The 19107-nt window shown below is 42.1% G+C and overlaps 1 protein-coding gene and 1 long non-coding RNA gene across 19 annotated transcripts in view, besides 1 other annotated feature; one reads left to right on the top strand and one right to left on the bottom strand.

The window, feature by feature from the left end:
• The window catches only part of DOCK8 (dedicator of cytokinesis 8), a 253999-nt gene that overhangs the window by 4072 nt on the left and 230820 nt on the right, over nt 1–19107 (bottom strand). For all 17 annotated transcript variants that reach the window (XM_017015173.2, XM_047423927.1, XM_011518045.4 and 14 more), the window contains 4 exons: nt 17668–17757; nt 14578–14814; nt 11257–11400; nt 9067–9173 (listed from right to left, as the gene is read on the bottom strand). In XM_017015173.2, the coding sequence (XP_016870662.1) occupies nt 9067–9173; nt 11257–11400; nt 14578–14814; nt 17668–17757 (578 nt within the window). The remainder of the gene's footprint in view (nt 1–9066; nt 9174–11256; nt 11401–14577; nt 14815–17667; nt 17758–19107) is intronic.
• LOC124902108 (uncharacterized) lies at nt 1236–6880 on the top strand. 2 transcript variants are annotated; one of them, XR_007061389.1, is made up of 3 exons: nt 1236–1468; nt 4137–4983; nt 6578–6880. It is a non-coding gene; the product is annotated as an uncharacterized LOC124902108 (long non-coding RNA). The 2 variants fall into 2 exon arrangements; XR_007061390.1 differs by lacking the exon at nt 1236–1468 and having other exon boundaries at nt 4084–4983.
• Nucleotides 16191–16750: an enhancer, noted in NCBI's record as "OCT4-NANOG hESC enhancer chr9:444434-444993 (GRCh37/hg19 assembly coordinates)". NCBI's record gives its function as "activates a minimal SCP1, AML or CMV promoter by ChIP-STARR-seq in naive H9 embryonic stem cells {active_cell/tissue: H9 hESC(naive)}" and the evidence as "EXISTENCE:reporter gene assay evidence [ECO:0000049][PMID:30033119]".

The raw sequence follows: 19107 nt of genomic DNA, 5'->3' as shown, positions 1-19107 counted from the left end.
AGAAAATCTTTAGAACTCATCATGGTTATCTGGCTTGTGGACCGTTAAACCTGGTGTTTTCCCTGTCTCCTGCACGGTACGGTACACACCAAAGAAGAAAATCACGTTATTTAAACATGATGAAGTTTTGCCTTTTGTTTTGTACTCTTCTACCCAAGGGAACTTACAAATCAATAAACCTTAAAGGGACAGAATAATGGCTGTATGTTACCTAACACGCAATAATTAGTAATAACTATATTATCCTTCAAATGAATAAGACGTGGGTGATCAATATGGCTTACATTATTTTCCTAACAGTGGTACCAGATTTGGACTAAGTTATGGAGATACCCAGACATTGTTATCAAATCCTCTTAACACTGAACACATTTTCAGGATGACAGTCAAAGAGGAAGAGGATAGCATGTGGCAAGGAAGAGCTACCTGCCTAGGCAAAAATAAACTTAGCACCACAGCTTCATCATGGAATTAGCCTGCTATAGAAGAAGGACTTGATTTAACTCACACAGAATCTGAAAGAACTCCCTTAACTGGATTTTCACCTATCTTTTATGTTTGTCATTAATTGAAGCAAATTATAGGATAGCTAAGGTTATGAATTAACGGTTTTAGGGAAGAAATAGAAGGGAAGGCATATGGCCTTTGAATCCTGAGAAATCTATATCACCCCTTATTATTTTTTTATTGCTTCTTAACTAACAGTTACAATTACCACCATGTGTAAAATAAGATCAGTTTCAGGATGACTTCAAGGCCCAAGTTTATAACATTGGCAGGCTACAGGAGGTGGGATGAGTCCTGCCAAAGCTAACAGCTAATTTGGGGAAGTCTACTCGGACAACTTTGGTAAAATCAGCTAAACTCTCCTTAGTCTTTGTTTGCAGAAGTAGCAGCAGCTAGCTAACACCTTCTGATTGCTCACCATGTGCCCTTGACTGAGTTAAATGTGTTATATGCAGACAACTGCGGTTGAAACAAGCTGCTACTCATTAGCAGGATGACTTAACCATAAAAATCTTCAATTTTCTCTGGAAAATGGGGATAATAAGCTCATATAATCTCCTAGGGTTGCTGGGAGAATTAAATCAGAAGCTATGATAATAAGGCAAACAGATGCTTCTGGAGTGTAGCAGATTGTATTTCTGAAAATGGCCACAAGAATGTGCTCTCCTAGAACCTTGCCCATGCCCCCATCAAGAGGTGGATGGTTCTTTGTGACAGCCACACTGAATAGGATGTGGTGGAGGTGGTACTGTGTGACTGGCTAATAAAAGGTAATATGGCCTCTGTCTCTCTCTCGTTCTGTACTATAAGAGTTCTGAACCATCCTGTGACAAGTCTAGTTACCCTAAAGCTGTCATGCAGGAGAGACCATGTGGAGAGAAGGAGAGTTAGAGAGAGGAGGAGCCCCTGCTGTTTGAGTATTCTCAGCCCAGACACCAGACATGAGTGAGGAAGCATTCAGGTAATTCAAGTCCTAGTCACTGTCTCAGTGCAACTGAGAGACTCCAGGCAAAAACTGCTTAGCTGAGCCCAGCCAACCCCAAGTTGCAGCAAAACCATTCTCATGGCCACAATACACCTCGCTAGGGCCCCAGCCATCATGACCACATCATAGGCAAGTATCAGGAGTAGAAATGAGGAAAGCAAAAATTATTATGTACCACATGCATAATAATTAAATTTTCTTTTAAGCCACTAAATTGTGAGGTAGTTTGTTACACAGCAATTAATAAATGTGATGTTTTATAAAGAAAAACATATTAATAGCTGGAGTAAAAAACTTAGATTTTATGTAGTAATATTACTTTATGTCTTTAAACTTTTATAATGCAAAAAATTATTTTATATACTTTTTCTACATTTCTTCCTTTCAGTCATTTGGGTTATATTCTCTAGGTTATTTGATTAAAATTGAAATAATTTCTACTATCCCTCCTAGAGAATAGCCACATCGCTTGGAAAATGTACACAAGATCATAAAATGACACTGCAAACAACTTTTCAAAAATGGTCTTATCTGTAACATTCTCAATAGGTCCACAAACATCTGTGCTGCTCTCACTTAGTGATACAACCATTCCAGACTTCCCTCACATCCTCTGATGCTCCCTTTGTTGGTAAATTCACCGAACACAAGTATTTTCTTAGAACAAATATGCCTGGGGTTTTCTAGCAGTCACAGTTCTACAGAAACCAGATTGATAGGGATTAGAAAGGGCAGGAAGTTACGCCTCCAGAAAAGGATTCCTGGCTTTTGATGGCAGTAACATTTTGGGGCCTCCATTTATAGAGTTAAGGTCTCCTACAGAGAGAGTAGTCATGCTGCCCTCACCCCCCCTGCATCTCTTGGTACCCCCTCTATTTTTAGAGAGAGGATCTCATTCTGTCATGCAGGGTGGAAGGCAGTGGCATGATCTCAGCTCACTGCAACCTCTGCCTCCTGGGCTCAAGTGATCCTCCCACCTCAGCTTCCCGAGCAGTTGGAACTACAGGCACGCCACTACACCCGGTTAATTTTTTTTGTATTTTTTGTAAAGACGAGGTTTTGCCATGTTGCCCAGGCTGGTCTCGAACTTGTGAGCTCAAGTGATCCGCCCACCTCAGCCTCCCAAAGTACTGGGATTACAGGCGTAGCCACTGTACCCAGCCTTGGCCCCCCTTTTTCAGCACAGCCCATACATGGGTTCCTCAGTGTGGCAGACAAACATTCGTTAGTTGTTTTCTCAATATCCATTCTTTCTTCCCTACTGGCAGAACTCCAGGCAGTGTGACCACCTGAAAACTTACACTTCCTAGCCTCCCATGCAGGTAGGGATCGCTGATAATATAGGTGAAGGCACTGGGAAATGGGCACATCTTTTTGCTGTTTCCTCATTTCTACTCCTGACTTGCCTAGATGTGGTCATGATGGCTGGAGCCCTAGCAACCATATCATGACCACGAGAATGGGTACACTAGAACCAGGATGGCATGGCAAAGGATTGGAAAAGAACCAGGGTCTCTGATGACTTTATGAGGCCACTACACAGCTCTACATCGACTACCTCCAATCTTATTTAATGTGAGAGAAAAATAAATTTCTTATTTAAGCTACTCTTCCTTCTGTTACTAGCAACTGAATATAGTCACTAGAGGGAACAGCTCAGCATGGCAATTAAGAGGATGGACTCTGGAGCCAGAGTGCTCAACTCTGAATCCCGCTTTGCTGCTTACTGGCTTTGCAACCTTAAACAAGCTACTTAACCTCTTCATGTCATAGTTTCTTCATCTGTGATGTGTGGGTGATAAGAGCCTACCTCATAAATTAATGTAAAGATTAAATTAGTTGAAACATATCAAATGTTCAGAAGAGTCCCTGCACACAGCTGAAGCCAGAGCACATGGTAGCGTTATTATGCCTGACAGACCCAGGCTAAGTAAATGAACTATTTGTACAATATGAGAATGATAAACTATTAGAGATGCTGTATTCTAGTCTCTTTATTTCATAGTTGATGAAACTAACATGCAAAGAGGTGAAGTGCCCTGTCCAGTCACATACCTGTGGGACAGCACAGCTGGATATAAACCCAGAATCCTGCTGCTCCCAGGCCAATGTCTCATCAGCATCACTGTGTCTTATGATTCAAACTTTATAGAGACAGACAAATCATGGATAGACAATCTCCGTATTTAAGTCAGATTAATTCTCTATTTCCCACTCAAATCCATCAGTCCCCTATTTGCCCCACTGAACAATGTTACACTTACTGATCCCTTAGTATGTATGAAGTCTTATTCTAAGTTCCATGTATTAACTCATTTTATTCTGTCACTAACTGCAAGGGAGAGGTACAATTATTATTCCGATTTTACATCTGGGGAAACCGAGGGTAGGTAACTTCTCAGGGTCACACATCTAGTTGAGGCAGAATGGGATCTGAACTCAGGCAATCTGGCTTGAGTGCCCATATTCCCAACCCCAACGCCACATATACTGCCTAGGAAAGCCATTTCCCCATTTCCAGCTATAAGCCAGGCATATGGCCTTGGTCTCAAGTTAAAACTACTGCTTCTTTTTCCACCTACACTCTACACATTTGGTTGTCCTTTGGCTACTCGGACAAATTCCTTCTCCTTCCTCTTCATAGACCCCAACTCCAGTTTAAAAACGCCACCACTCAACAGCCTGTTTTCTGAGCCTATGACCACATATATGCTGCAGAACCCTTTCAGGGTGTATCTGAAACTACTTCTCTTAAAGGCAAGCTGTAACTGGTGCCAGTGAGTACTACTATCTTTTATTTAAATTAAAAACAAATTTAACATCACTTAGTCTTTATAAGAATGAGAAAGTCCAGATAAGTATAAAGAAGAAAATTTAAAAATCTAAATGGTCGGGGTGTTTGGGGGAGCAGAAGAGGAAGATAGAAGATTGTATCTCTCTATCTTCTTGTCTTGGCTTCTGAACCCGAGATGTTTTTTATTATTGCAGGAAAAGACAGAAGCTGATTGAGGTCCCAGCTTGGTAACAGTTTGAAGAGTTGCAGGACTGGCTGGATGAGTACTGGCTGCAGCAAATCAGGCTGCCAGGATTCTTTATGGCTGTTTCTGCTTCCACTACAGCTGAGTCAGAAAGGTCGCTGCCCCGTGGTGGCACTAGACGCAGTGGACCTGGCAAGCAAATGTTTCCGCTATTAGCTCTCAGCAACAGAGACTCATTTATGGTCACCTTGGAAATCTGGGCTTATCGATCTACAGCCCAAGTCTGCTGAGAAGCTGGAGCTTACTAAAGGGGAAACCTGAGAGCTGTTCAAGCCCCAAATATTTTCCACTTCTGCGTCACCTCTGCTGTCTGTTAGCAGAGTGGAGGAGAAAATACACAGCACAAACAACGTGAAAAAATAGTTACTCTATTCATTAAAAGCTGTAACTTCCAGATTGGACTTGAGAAGCAATTAAGCAACAGAGGAACCTCATCTACTATCTGTATTCAGGGTATGATTTACATACCGTAACATTCACCCATTTTATGTTTAGAGTTTGATGAGTTTTAGTAATTTACACAGTTGTGCACCATCAGCACACTCTCACCCACGACTTCTGATCTCTGTAGAATGAAGTGGAGGGCAGGCCATCTGTTGTGTTTGCACATAGAGATGAATAATGAGCAGCAGTACTGTTTTGTCTGTAGCCTTGTCCTACTGATATTGGGACTTCATCCTTCCACATATGTAGCACAGTGCCTGGCACAAAGTAGGAGCTCAATAACTGCTGAATGAATGGATGAACTGACGTCTATAGTTGGTTCAAGGTGCAGCAGTTTGAGCATGTTTGCTTTTTTTTTTGTTCTCACATAATTTTATTGAGATTTACAACTTCTTTTTTTGCCATTAAAATTTTATTTTATTATTTATTTATTTATTTATTTTTTGGGAGGAAGCAGACGGCAAAAGTGGTAAATGATGATAAGGATGGCCTAAGAGATTAAGCCCTCAGGGAAGGAGGGAGAGGTAATAGGGAGAAATGTGAAAGGGAGGAAATTAAGCAATCTTTGCAGGCTCTCCACTCAAAGTTTGGTCCAGTGTAGCAGCAGCAGCATCACCTGGGGGCCTGTTAGAAATGCAGTGCTTCAGGACCAACCCCAGACCTACTGAATCAGAATCTGCATTTTTCTTTTTCTTTTTTTGAGACAGGGTCTTTCTCTGTCACCCAGGCTGGAGTGCAGTGGCACGATCATGGCTCATTGCAGCCTTGACCTCCTCGGGCTCAAGCTATCCTCGCACCTCAGCCTCTCGAGTAGCTGGGACTACAGGCACACACCACTACCACGCTTGGCTAAATTTTTGTATTTTTTTGTATTTTTTTAAAGAGACAGAGTTTCGCCATGTTGCCCAGGCTGGTCCTGAACTCCTGGGCTCAAGCAGTCCTTCCACCTCAGCCTCCCAAAGTGCTGGGATTAGAGGCGGAGCCACTGCATCAGGCCAAAATCTGCATTTTGACAAATCCTCAGGTGACGTGTAAGAACAGTGAAGTCTGGGAAGCATGGACAGTCTCCTGGCCTCCTAGAACAATGCAGCAGCCCAGCCAGTGGGGAGAAAGGTGGGACTGGTTCCCATGTGGAATCACCATTAAAAGGGTAGGAGAACAACTTTAAAATGGTGAATTTGATTTTGAAAATCCAACATTTCTGTAGGCCATCTGGGGAGAATGATAGCCTCATTATTGAAACTCTAATGACTTTGTTAAAGGAGCGACCCCTAGGAAAGTCCATTTCCTCTTGTATCTCTTGCCTGGGACTAGTTTTACTGGGCACTGGTTCTTTTTGGAGTAACTTTTCCTGGGGCTGGGAGCTAATGAGAAACGCATGTTTAGTAGGGATTTTGTAAGTACATTTTACCTAGGTGGTGTCATGGAAAGGATCATACCCGTGAGATACTGGATTGCAAGATTTATAACTAGTAGAAAAAATTGAGGCAAACTGAAGTAAATGAAAATCACTCTCCTGACAAGTTTTCTTAAACATTTAAATTGTATTCAGAGCCTCATTTACTGATATTATCATATTTCCAATCTTTCCTCCTTGTCCTAGCATGCTCATGAGAACACGCTGCTCCAGCTGGACTTAGAGGAACCCGGTGCATCACAGGCATTCCTGACAGAGTCTCGTGGTCCTGCTGGTCCACTCAGTGGTACTCAGTCCTCCTCATTCTCGGGGATAGGTTCCAAGACCCCCAGGGGATGCCTGAAACTGCGGATGGTACCGAACCCTACATATATTATGTTTTTTTCCTATACATACATACCTATGATAAAGCTTAATTTACAAATTAGATAGAGTAAGAGATTAACAACAATTACAGCAATATACTGAAATAAAAGTTATGTGAATGTGGTCTCTCTCTCTCTCTCTGAATATCATATTGTAAGTAATACTTTCAAACCATGGGTAACTAAAGCAGCTGAAAGTGATACCTTGGATCAGGCAGGGCCACTGTCCTGGCTCCCTCTTCCCCACTAGCGCCTTTCTTCCACGTATATAGTCAAGACAAGATTTAAGTGGTGTTTTTCCATAACGCCTCCCACAAATGCTCCAGCCTGAAACTGATTTCTCTTTTCTGATCTTTATAGTCCTGTAGTTAGTCATTCTTAAAGTTCTGTGCATATGCTGCATTCTATTATTCAGCCATGCAGGGCTATGTCCTGTCATTAAGAACAGAGGAACAAGCCAGATCTCTGTAGTCCCATAACTAATATCATGCCTGGAATATAGTGAGTGCTCTTCAAACATTTCATAGGTCCTTTTAGAGGTCCTGGGGCATAGTCAACTTTGGAAGCATTCAACCATAATGAATTTTAAATAAAAATATATGAAAAAAAATTTTTTTAAGCCCCCAATCTCTGAGCCCAGGAATTCAAGACCAGCCTAGACGGCATAGTGAGACCCTGTCTCCACAAAAAATAAAAAATAGGGCCGGGCACGGTGGTATATGCCTGTAATCCCAGCACTTTGGGAGACCAAGGCAGGTGGATCATTTGAGGTCAGGAGTTCAAGATCAGCCTGGCCAACATGGTGAAACCCCATTTCTACCAAAAATACAAAAATTAGCCAGATGTGGTGGCACACGTCTGTAGTCCCAGCTACTTGGGAGGCTCAGGGAGGAGAATCTCTTGAGCCTGGGAAGTGGAGGTTGCAGTGAGCTGAGATTATGCCACTGTACTCCAGCCTGGGCAACAGAGTGAGACCTTGTCTCAAAATAAAATAAAATAATAAAATAATTCCCCAAATATTTTTCTAGCCTTTTAAAAGATACGTATTATGTACTGAAAAAACAACAACAACAACTAGTTTTTCTGTCAGAATTGTTGTCAAATACAGGAAACAATTCAAATATCAAAACATTAATCAAGATAATCTGTGAGTATGTTCACACACATGCACAAATACAAACACGCAAAGCCACACAAACATCCTATTACCAAGCGGCTGTGATTCACTGCAGGGCACAGTGTGTCTCCTGTATATGCAGCAAAATTGCGGACCTCTCGCAAAAGCCTGTGAAGGAGGAGATATCTCTAACCTCACAAATGCTAGCATTTTGATGAGTTTTCACTGAATTTAGCAAACTTTTAGTCTCCTTTATCCCCATCTGCCAAGTGAAGATATTCTTATACTTAATATTCTTCTCTAAGGTTTTGAATAGAAAGAAATATTGCTACACATTTTTCTGAAGTCCTTTTCTCTTATAGGTGAAATGCCATCACATCCTTCATACTCATATTTTTAGGACCATAGGAGACCCAATATATCTGTCTGTATTGCAATAAATTACAAGGCTTTGACCAAAGACCCAGTTCCTAACTGACTGCTCTTGAAGCCAGCTCCACTGCAGAATTAAGGAACAGAGATGAGACTTGTCTGACATGGGGAACTGTCACAGGATAATACCTTTGAAAAGCCTGGTTTTAGAACTTGCCTCTCTCAATTTGAGGCAGTGTATGTTTTTAAGTTTCTAAAAATAAGATATTATAAGATTTGTAACATTACAATGACTGCCAATGCAAAGAACCTCTGGGACTCTAGTGCATCAGTGGAATATCAGCACATTGATGGACATGTGGACTATTTGGATTCAGAAGACCTGGTTTGAGCTCATCTCTGCTGCCAACTGTCTGTGTGACCTTAAGTAAAATTATCTCCTCTCTCTGAACCTCTGATTCCTCTTTTGTAAAATGAGGAAGATGATGATACTTGTTTTACAACAAGTGATTGTGAGGCACACGGGATGCTAGCCACAAAAGCGTTTCATAGTTGACGTGTTAGTTACTCATTAGTAGTTCAAGTAGTGTTGCTCTGCTGCAGTGGTCCTCAAACTTCAGTGTGCATCAGGATCACCTGGAGGGCGGGTTAAACTGCACATTGCTGAGCCACACCTCCAGAGATTCCAATTCAGCAGGTCTGGAGGGTGCCTGAGACTTTGTCTTTCTAGCAAGTTCTCAGGTGATGCTGAAGCTGCTGGTCTAAGATTGCACTTTGAGAACCACTGCTCTACTGAAATTCCCAGCCATTTTCCTTCTTACCTCATGATGAATTCCTTAAAGCATAACCTCAACTTGTTGTGATGTCGATAGAGTTTTGGATCAGCAGGAATTTCAGCCAAAAACACTTGGGCTACTTCCAGTGGTCCCTGGTGGGAAAAAAAAAAAAAAAAAAAAAAAAATATATATATATATATATATATACACACACACACATATATATATACACATACATATATATGTATATGCATATGTATATGTATATGCATATATATGTATATATATATACACACACATATATATGAATATATTCATACATATATGAAGGAAATTAAATTGCTTGGGAGAAAATATTGGAGTGACTTCTTAGTTTGAACATTTAATTTTGTAGTTGGTTTGAAATAAACAAAAAAAAATAAGGAAGGTCTTGGACATCTCAGGAAATTTTGATTTCTTAGGAGGAATCTGAAGTTTTAGAGGAACACTCAGAAGTATAAATGTATTTTCCCTGTGTGTGTGTGTTTTGTTTTTGTTTTTTAGACAGGGTCTCGCTCTATCACCCAGGCTAGAGAGCAGTGGCATGATCTCTGCTCACTGCAGCCTCCACTTCCCAGGCTCAAGTGATCCTCCCATGTCAGCCTCCCAAGTAGCTGAGACTACAGGTGTGTGCCACTATACCTGGCTATTTTTGTATTTTTTTGTAGTGATGGGATTTTGCCACATTGCCCAGGCTGGTCTTGAACTCCTGGCCTCAAGGGATCCACCCACCTCAGCCTCCCAAATTGCTGGGATTACAGGCGTGCGCACCATACACAGCCCAAATTTATTTTCTTTTTTATTGTTGTTTTTGAGACAGAGTCTTACTCTGTCACTCAGGCTGGAGCGCAGTGGCATAATCTCAGCTCACTACAACCTCCACCTCCCGGGTTCAAGGGATTCTCCTGCCTCAGCCTCCCAAGTACTGGGACTACAAGCGCCTGCCACCACACTGGCTAATTTTTGTATTTTTAGCAGAGATGGGGTTTCACCATGTTGGCCAGGCTGGTCTGAAACTCCTGACCTCAAGTGATTCACCCACCTCGGCCTCCCACAGTGCTGGGATTATAGGCATGAGCCACTGAGCCTGGCGCCGAATATTATTTTATCAATCAAATACTACTAATAATAGATTTTCATTCATATATAAGTGTAATACAACTACATCAAATGGTATGTGCTTTGAGTTGCTTTTCTAAAAATCAGGATTGCCTTGATCTATTCATTTTTGTTCACTTATCTAGTTGCCTTCATGGCAAACATCATTTTGCATAACTGCTGGATTGAGTCAGAGATATCCATCGTGTACAGATAGACCATGGTTGTGGGCTTGGAAAGTCTTCCATTTTATCAAAGGATTGGCACTTACAAAGGCAAACGTTTCCTCATTTTTTTTTCCTGATCTTGGGAATGTAATAGGCATTTCTCTTCTCTGTTTCTGCTCCCTTGATGTCAAGTACACTCAGAACTTTTGTGGGGAAATCCAATTACGCTGAATGAGAAAAGACTCATGATGCTCACTGAATAACTGCCGTGGAAGTGTGGACAAGAACAGATCTAGATTTGAATTAAGGAGGCCCACTGGACAGAGGTATTAGGCTGGTACCTCCCTTCATCTGAGACTGCTTGAGCACCATGCTGAACTTGGGAGTCAGCGTTCTAAGAAGTCTGATAGGAAGATCTAGTCTTGTCTGAAGTAGCCTAAGAAGTCAGGTCCCAGGTCATTCCTGGTTGTCAAGGTCCTTGGCATGCTGGGTTCATCTGCTGACTGAGCCAAGAGTTGGATGTTCTAGATCCTTTTCCTTCTCTCCTATAGGCATTTGTAGGTGAGTCTCAAGCCCTGCAATTACTCTGCGTGAATTGGTCATGACTAAGCATTCTTCAACATGACTCCAGATTTGCATCATATTGTCAGGTCTGGCCCCGAAGTGGAGACTCCTCTGAGAAAGTGGTACTCCTTAAAGCCTGGTCCACTCATCTCTAGGATTTCTTTTTTACCTGGGGTTGTTACATGAAAGGGAAGAGGTTTCCTAAAAGTCTTCTAAACCTTACAGGTGTTCAGGTTAAGTGTAGGAACATTTCTGTGTTTGTCTATGGATCAAAGTCCTCATCAACCCCAAGGAAGAAGGGTGCAGACGTATAATGACAACCTAAATAATAAGAACCAGAGGAGCTGCCACCTCTGGTTTTGCTTACCTGATTTACAGTAGCTCCCACAGAGCCTTGCAGCACCATCTGAAGCATCTTTGCATCAGGCGGCTCCTGGTTAATGGCAACTGCTAACTGCAGGGTCTTCTTCTTCATGTCTTCAATGGCAACTTCAATCGGTGTCAAAACAAACTGAACATGAGACGTAAACATAGGGAAGTCACTGTCTGGTCTCATAAGCTATGGACAAGCCTGGAGCTATGACAGAGAGGCCACCTGAATTTGAAGAGGCAGCTAGGGAAAGACTTTCAGAGTAATTTAAAATACTCTTAACAGGTTAAAAAGAAAGATGGGCCTAACATTTCTTGATTCCTTATGTTCCAGGAACTTTACATACATTTAGCATTTATTCCTCTCAACAACCTCTTTATACTCTCCATTTTACAGTCAAAGGGGGATTTGTAAGGTTAAGTTCCACAGAATGCCACAGGTAGTAAGGGAGGAGGTCATAATTCGATCACAAGTATGTCTATCTTCAAAGTCCATGTTTTTTCTACCCTGTCAGGTGCCTTTTCCTATTACTGAGCAAGTTACTCAACTTACTTATTTATTTATTTATTTATTTGAGATGGAGTTTTGCTCTTGTTGTCTAGGCTGGAGTGCAATGGCATGATCTTGGCTCACTGCAATCTCCGCCTCCCGGGTTCAAGCAATTCTCCTGCCTCAGCCTCCCAAGTAGCTGGGATTACAGGCATGCACCACCACACCCAGATAATTTTGTATTTTTAGTAGAGATGCGGTTTCTCTATGTTGGCCAGGCTGGTCTCAAACTCCCAACCTTAGGCAATCCCCCTGCCTCGGCCTCCCAAAGTGCTGGGATTACAGGCAAGAGCCACCGCACACAGCCTCATGTTACTCAACTTACAATGCAGAAAGCTGTAGTAGAAGCACAGCACTCAAGATTTTCTCCCCCATCATAACACAGGCTTTTGATATCACCTGTGCCTTCTCCAACTGAGGGTGAATTTCCAGTAAATGGAATTCTTTTAAGGGTCAATCAATCTATTTGCTAAGTTCTGCTGGTTTGGGGTAGAGTCTTTTCTGAATTTTATAGGTTGAATTGTGTTCCCCCAAAATGTATATGTCGAAGTCCTAACCTTCAGTACCTCAGAATGTGACCTTCTTTGGAGATAGGGTCTTTACAGAGGCAATCAAGTTAAAATGAGGCCAGCAGGGTAAGCCCTAGTCCAATATGACTGGTGTCCTTACGAGAAGAGGAAATCTGGACACGAACACAGAGGGAAGATGATGTGAAGAGACACAGGGAGAAGAGGGCTGTCCACAGGTCAGGGAGAGAGGCCTGGAACAGACCCTTTCCTCACAGCCCTCAGAAGGCACCAACAGTGCTGGCACCTTGATTTCAAACTTCTAGCCTCTAGAATTGTGCAGACAGTAAATTTCAGTTGTTTAAGCCACCCAGTCTATGGAACTTTGTTCTACAGCCCTAGCAAACAGCTGAGAACTGTTGTTGAGGTTGTTGGGGAACGAAGGAAGGCCAAGAAAACTTCAGGCTGGTGCAGTGGCTCACACTTGTAATCCCAGCACCTTGGGAGGCTGAGGTAGGAGGATCGTTTGAGGCCAACAGTTTGAGACCAGACTGGGCAACAAAGTAAGACCCCTGTCTCTTACAAAATATATATCTCTCTGTATTTTTAATTAGCTGGGCATGGTGGCACAAGCCTGTAGTCCCAGCTACACAGGAGGCTGAGGTAGGAAAATTGCTCGAGCCCAGGAGGTCGAGGCTGCAGTGAGCCATGTTCATGCCACTGCACTCTAGGGCAACAGAGGAAGATCCTGTCTCAAAAATGAAAAAGAGAGAAAGAGAGACAGAGACACAGAAAAAAAGGAAGAACGAAAGGAAAGGAAGGAAAGGAAAGGAAGGCAGGAATGAAGAAAAGAAAAGGTTTTGAAATGCTTTTGGGCACCATGAGTTTATATCTGTGTTATGCCTAGAATGTCTCAGTGTTCAAAAGTCCAAACCAAGAAGTATAGGAAGTACAGCAGATGGCTTCTAAACCCACCTCCTCCCGACTGAGTCACTGCTTCAGGCTTTCTTCAGCTTCTGTGAAAGCCACACCCTGATGTGGTTACCCAGCTGAACACTACCTGCTGGATGACTCTCCAGTTAGCTCAGCTATTTCTGCTTCTGCCTGATGAGGTATATATTCACCACAATTCATCTGTGTTTGTTCACCAACTTGATTATGCCTGTTATACTTGTTATTTTAATGACCCAATCTAATTAGATAATGGAGAAACTGATGAACCATGGGTGTGGAAAGAAAAAGATTTCTTTCTATGAAAACCAAGCCAAATGGTTGGACAAGATATTATGAAAGTGAGTTGCTATAAAAATTCCTGTCATATTAGGTGTGCACAAGACTGCTGTCAAAGTCTCGGGGAGAAAAACATCATAAACATCCAGAAGGCTTCTGCTCTCAAATTGTTTAACAAGGATCTTTAAGCTCTCACTCTGCTTACACAAAGCAAAACTGAAAATCATGGACAAAGCACTACGGGTGTGGTTTATAAAAGAAAATGCTGAATTGTGATCAGCAAACCCACAGTCACAGAGAAGTCTGTGGCCCTGCATAAAAAGGACGACAAATAAGTGTATATATATGTGTTTTAAAGAATAATAAGTTGTTTATGGTGTGTAGAATTTTGAACAATTCTGTGGTTTGAGAGACCTTCTTGACCAGTCCTTTTATTAATAAAATGAGTATAATCTTGTACTGTACTTAGAGGTCTTTCCTGCTAATGCATAGATGAAGAAACTGAAGGTACGTAGCTTGTTTAAAATCACAGGAGGAAGCTAGGACTAGAAGCTAGTCAGTGAACTTGTCTACCTTACACGGCCCTTTCCCACAGCACACCACCGCCTCACTGGGGCTGCCCACGTGCAGGTCCCGTCTCCAATAATTAACAGCACGACTATGCTTGAATCACCTCTAAGCTTTGAAATATAGAAAAATTTTATATAAAATATTTAAAAGGTAAATATATCTGTTGTACAAGTTTATAATTGAAATATATATTAAATATTATAATTAAATACATAAACACACTTATACTAAAGATATAACTTTAAAATATTAAATATTTAATATACAATAGTGCTATAAAATATGTAGCTGCCTAAATGGGATTTTCTGGCACTATGAGAGTGAAAGGACAACCATATAATCATATTTCAAGTGCATCCCTCCTTGTTTTCAGTCCAATCCACTGTGAAAGAGGTTTGTGGGTCCTCCTGGGAGGCCACCCAGCCCACTCATCCAGTGGTGGCCAATCCCTTGGGTGCATTACCTCCTCCTTCTGGATGACGCTGATCCTGGTCTTGATGTAGGGGAAGGCGTGCATAGTGGTCAGGACTGTGTTCCTTCTGTACTGCTCATGCAGCTCTCCCCGAGGCCGCCCCTCCAGGGTGAACGGGGTGGTGTACATGAACCTCCGGAGGTTGAAATTCTTCTCAAAGTATGTGACCCTGTCTTTCATCTCATACTCATCAAAGTAGGGCTCCACAAAAGTGATCTGTATGTAGGCCTAAGGGGGAAAAGGCACGGAGGGAGAAGATGAGCTATTCTGCAAACGGCCATCCCTGACGCAATGGAGGGGCATGCAGGAACACGGCGTGCCGGCACCGCCCTGCCCAGTGCAGAAAAGCTACAGATGCAGGGGAGAATGTGGCCAGCAGAAGTTCCTCCTCTCCACCCCCAAGGACAGAAGGGGCTGCAAGGAGGGAGAGGGGAATGTGCCTGTGGGGAGAGTGAGGGCCACCGGCCGCACCTTCCTAGCAGAGCAAACTGATCCACAGTGGAAGCCTTGGTATGAGAGTTTGCAAACTGCTATTCCAAAGAGACAAACTTTCCTTTACAGAATGACAATGACTACCTCACAGTTATGAGGAAGCATGAATGGCCGAACTAAAGAAAACTAACAATATCAAGTGCTGGCAAGGATGGAGATCAGCTAGAGCTGTCATACACAGAGGGTGGGAATGCAAAATGCACAGCTACTTTGCAGAAGAAGCTGGCGGTCTCTTATGCAGTTAAACTGCACTACCATTGGACCCAGCAACCCCACTCCTATGTGTGTACAGGAGAGAAATGAAAGCTTATGTCCATACAAAAACCTGTACACAAATGTCTCCAGCAACTTTATTCATAACAAAGACTAGAAACAACCCAAATGTCACTCCAGTGGGGAATTAACAAGCAAATGGTGAGGTAGTCACACAACAGAATACTACTCAGCAACGGAAAGGAAGGAACTATTGCAACATGGACTACCAATGGGCACGGGAAGTATTTTGGAGTGGTGGATCTGTTCTATATCTTGGTTATGAAGGTAGTCACATGTGTTTGTCAAAACTCATAGAACTAAACACCAAAACTGAATTTTACTGCCTAGGCCTCATTTAAACACACACTCACATCACCTCCACCCTCAAACACAGAGCGAATAAGTACTCATTAAAGACGACAATCTCTTAGGAAAAAAAGTGACCATGAGTTCAGATGCTGGGACACTCACCCACTGAAAGGGATGAGTGGGGTCACTGACCTCAGACTGTAAATCACGACTTAGTATAATGAAATCTGGTTGTAACTCTGGGTTCAGACTCTCATTCCAAACTCTCACAACCTACCCTGGGAATTTTAAAAGAGGGGAAAAGGGCACCTTGGCTGAGGGAGGTCACATTTTACACAGCTTGTGCTATGTACAGATCACTGTGGGCACACGGCCAACTCCATCTCCCAGACATGTGTGTCTGAAGATTAGTTAAACTCTTACCACAGCCACTGCTTTCAAGCCGAGGCTAGGGAATGTGTCTTAAGTGAGAAAGCATTCTGAAAAATGTAGAAAAACAAACTCTTCAATTTGGCCAATTCTTCCCCTCTTCCATTATCTTCTTCATATCCTGGAAGATGGAACTGGGAGTTTGGACCTTTCATTTTATAGGTTTGCTAGATGGTGAATGGTCCTCTGTCCCAGGGCCCTTAATGATACCTTGCACTTGCACTATTTCCAGTAACTTAGAAAGCTCATTCATGGACATGTGAGTTGGGCTGAGTGGGCAGCATCAGCTTGTGGTATAATAAAGAATATGTCTGGTCTTTGTCTCCATTTCCTAGCACAGAGCTTTAGAAACACTTAGAATTTCCTCAGTGATGGGTGTCTTTGTGATGCTAATGAGGTGACTCATGCTGGGCCCCTGGATAGCTTCAGGATGCCAAGTGGCCACCAAAAAGACCAATTCTGTGATTACAGGGTAGGAACTGGATGACCTCTGGAGACAGGAGAGGGGCTGGAGACTGTATTCAATTTGCCTACATAATGAAACCCCAACAAAATCTCTGGACACTGAGACTTGGCGGAGCTTCCTGGTTGGAGAACACACTGATGAGCCAGGAAGCCATAAATAAAGGCACAAAAAGATGTTCACCCTTTATCATAATACTCTGATAGTAACCAGAGTACTTTTTGGAATTCTGTGAGTCATTGTAGTGAATTATTTAATCTAACAGGTATCATAGAAACTCCCAAATTATTATTATTATTATTATTATTATTATTTGCTTTGTTTTCTCCTATTTTCAAGCTAACAGGTTATAGAAACTCCCAAATTTGTAGCTGGCTGATCAGAAGCGTGGCTGGCCTGGGGGTCCCTCTTGAAGCTGGCATCTGAAGTCAGGGCAGTCTTGAGGAGGACTGAGCCTTTACCCTGTGGGAGCTGATACCACCTCCACGTGTTAGCATCAGAACTGTACACCCATTTTGGGGTGAAATGGAACATACCCTCTTGTGAAAGTGAGGAAACCCAAACCCAAGCCGTTTTTACCATTCCCCCAACAGCACAGTGATCCCGGACTTGGATGGAAGGAATACTTGCAGCCTAAAGAAGGAAGCCACTAAGTGTTGTCGAGTTTGAAATGGAGAGTTTAAAGGTTTTATAAAAAGGCAGTAAAGAGCAGTGCTGAAGAGTAGGGGTTCAGAAGCAACAGACCTCAAGTCTGAGTACTGGCTCTGCTGCTTGCATGACCTTGAAACTTGCTTGACTCTTCCATGTCTCAGTTTTCTCATCTCTAAAATAGGAATGACAAAATCTACTTCCAGGGGTCGTTGCAGGATGAAATAAAATGATGTATGTAGAGGGCCTAATGCAGTTCCAGGTACACAGTTGGTGCTTAATAAGTGGTAGCTCCTATTATGATTCCTGCCTTTGACTATATTTTCTTTAAGATCTGACCAATTAGTAGTTGAACTCTAGACGAAAAGGTTTGACTGCATTTAAGTGACTTGGAGAGTCCAGATAGATGAGATCATTAGGTATTCTTGGGTAGAGAACGAAGGGATTTAGAGCTTGATGGTTAGTTTTTGTAAATTTTTGTATACCTTGTTAGGATCCAACTTGGTTTTGTCCACAGGAGTGGAGTCTTTAATCACTTCCACAAATTCTGCACCAAAACATTGACCATAAAATGCCTAGGTAAGAAGAACCAACAGTTTATAAAGGTTATTTTAACATAATGCAACTCTTTGTCTTCTTGGAAGTGAAATAAGTTTGGAGCAAGTGCAAGGTAGAATGATGTTCACTGATTATTGAGAGTTCCTCTGAGCTAATGAGCAAAGTTCAGCATTTCCTAAGACAAAAATAAAAATAGCACTGTCAACTGGTATATGCTTCCCTATAAGATGTATGCTTGGCCTCTAATTCAGCTAACATCATTATATTTGCTGAGGTATCTCCTGGGGTATCACACTCTTTACTTCTCGCCTTCTGTACCCTGGGAACTTGGAAGTCACCAGCCTTCCCATATTGTGGCAAATCACAGTGCACAAGAAGATAAAATATATACCTCTAATTCTAAGTAGGGGAAACAATATAGGGAACCAAGTGGACTGGGGTCAATTGCTAGCTCTTTTTCTCATGTGCTAAACAATTTTGGGGCAACTCACCCAGCCACCCTGGGCAATGGCTTCTTTGAGTCAAGTAAGGATAAACCCTCTTGTCTTTTTTGGCATGGATGGAGAGTGTACGAAGCCATTAGGCAACACAAATGTTTTAAGTTTTACACTCATAGGAGGGCACAAATTCAAAGCAATGAAAGCCTAAGGAGTGAATCTTTGGTTAATTGTGAGCAGTTCAAAGGACCCCAGTCCTGCTTGGTAATTGCAGGCTCTTTGTAAACAAATTCCTGTTCATCCAAATCCCATCGGGGAGGCACCTTTGACTGAGTTCTTAGTGTTTGGCCCTTATAACCTGTGTTTCTTTTGTCCTGACCTTTCTCTAGGCTGTTTCTCTTTTTCTCCATGCTTTCAGCTTTGCTTCTAACAACATGCTACACTTTTCTGTTGTATTATGGACCAAATGTCACTCACTGGCAGGTTGGAGCCGGGCTGGCCACAGCTGAGTAGCTCCACATCAGAAGGACCCCAGGTGCCATCCAGTGATACCTAAAGGATGGCCTCACCATTATCTAGGGGTGATTCAGTCATTTGGCTAGATTACTTCAAAGTCAAGATGCTAAACTTCATGTTGAAAAACTCTACTACTCTCTATCTACTAGTATAAACTACTAATATTTGGAAAGGGTGATAAGAAAGCACATGACCTTGATTGAATTTTGCACAGACTTCAAAATAAATATTCACCATATAAAATTCCAAACTGTGAAAAGCATACACAGAGTATTAGGGAAAAACTATCAAAATATTACATCACCTCATGATCTCACCTAATACCTTTCTACTTTGCCTTTTATAAATGCAAAGGGGAAAACTTTATGTAGAGATCAATGATGAATCCATAACTCTTTATTTGTTTATTTTTGG

This window comes from Homo sapiens, chromosome 9, assembly GCF_000001405.40.
Source record: "Homo sapiens chromosome 9, GRCh38.p14 Primary Assembly".
Classification (NCBI taxonomy): domain Eukaryota; kingdom Metazoa; phylum Chordata; class Mammalia; order Primates; family Hominidae; genus Homo; species Homo sapiens.
The sequence above is the reverse complement of the archived record's forward strand: the minus strand, read 5'-3'. Positions and strand labels throughout refer to the sequence as shown.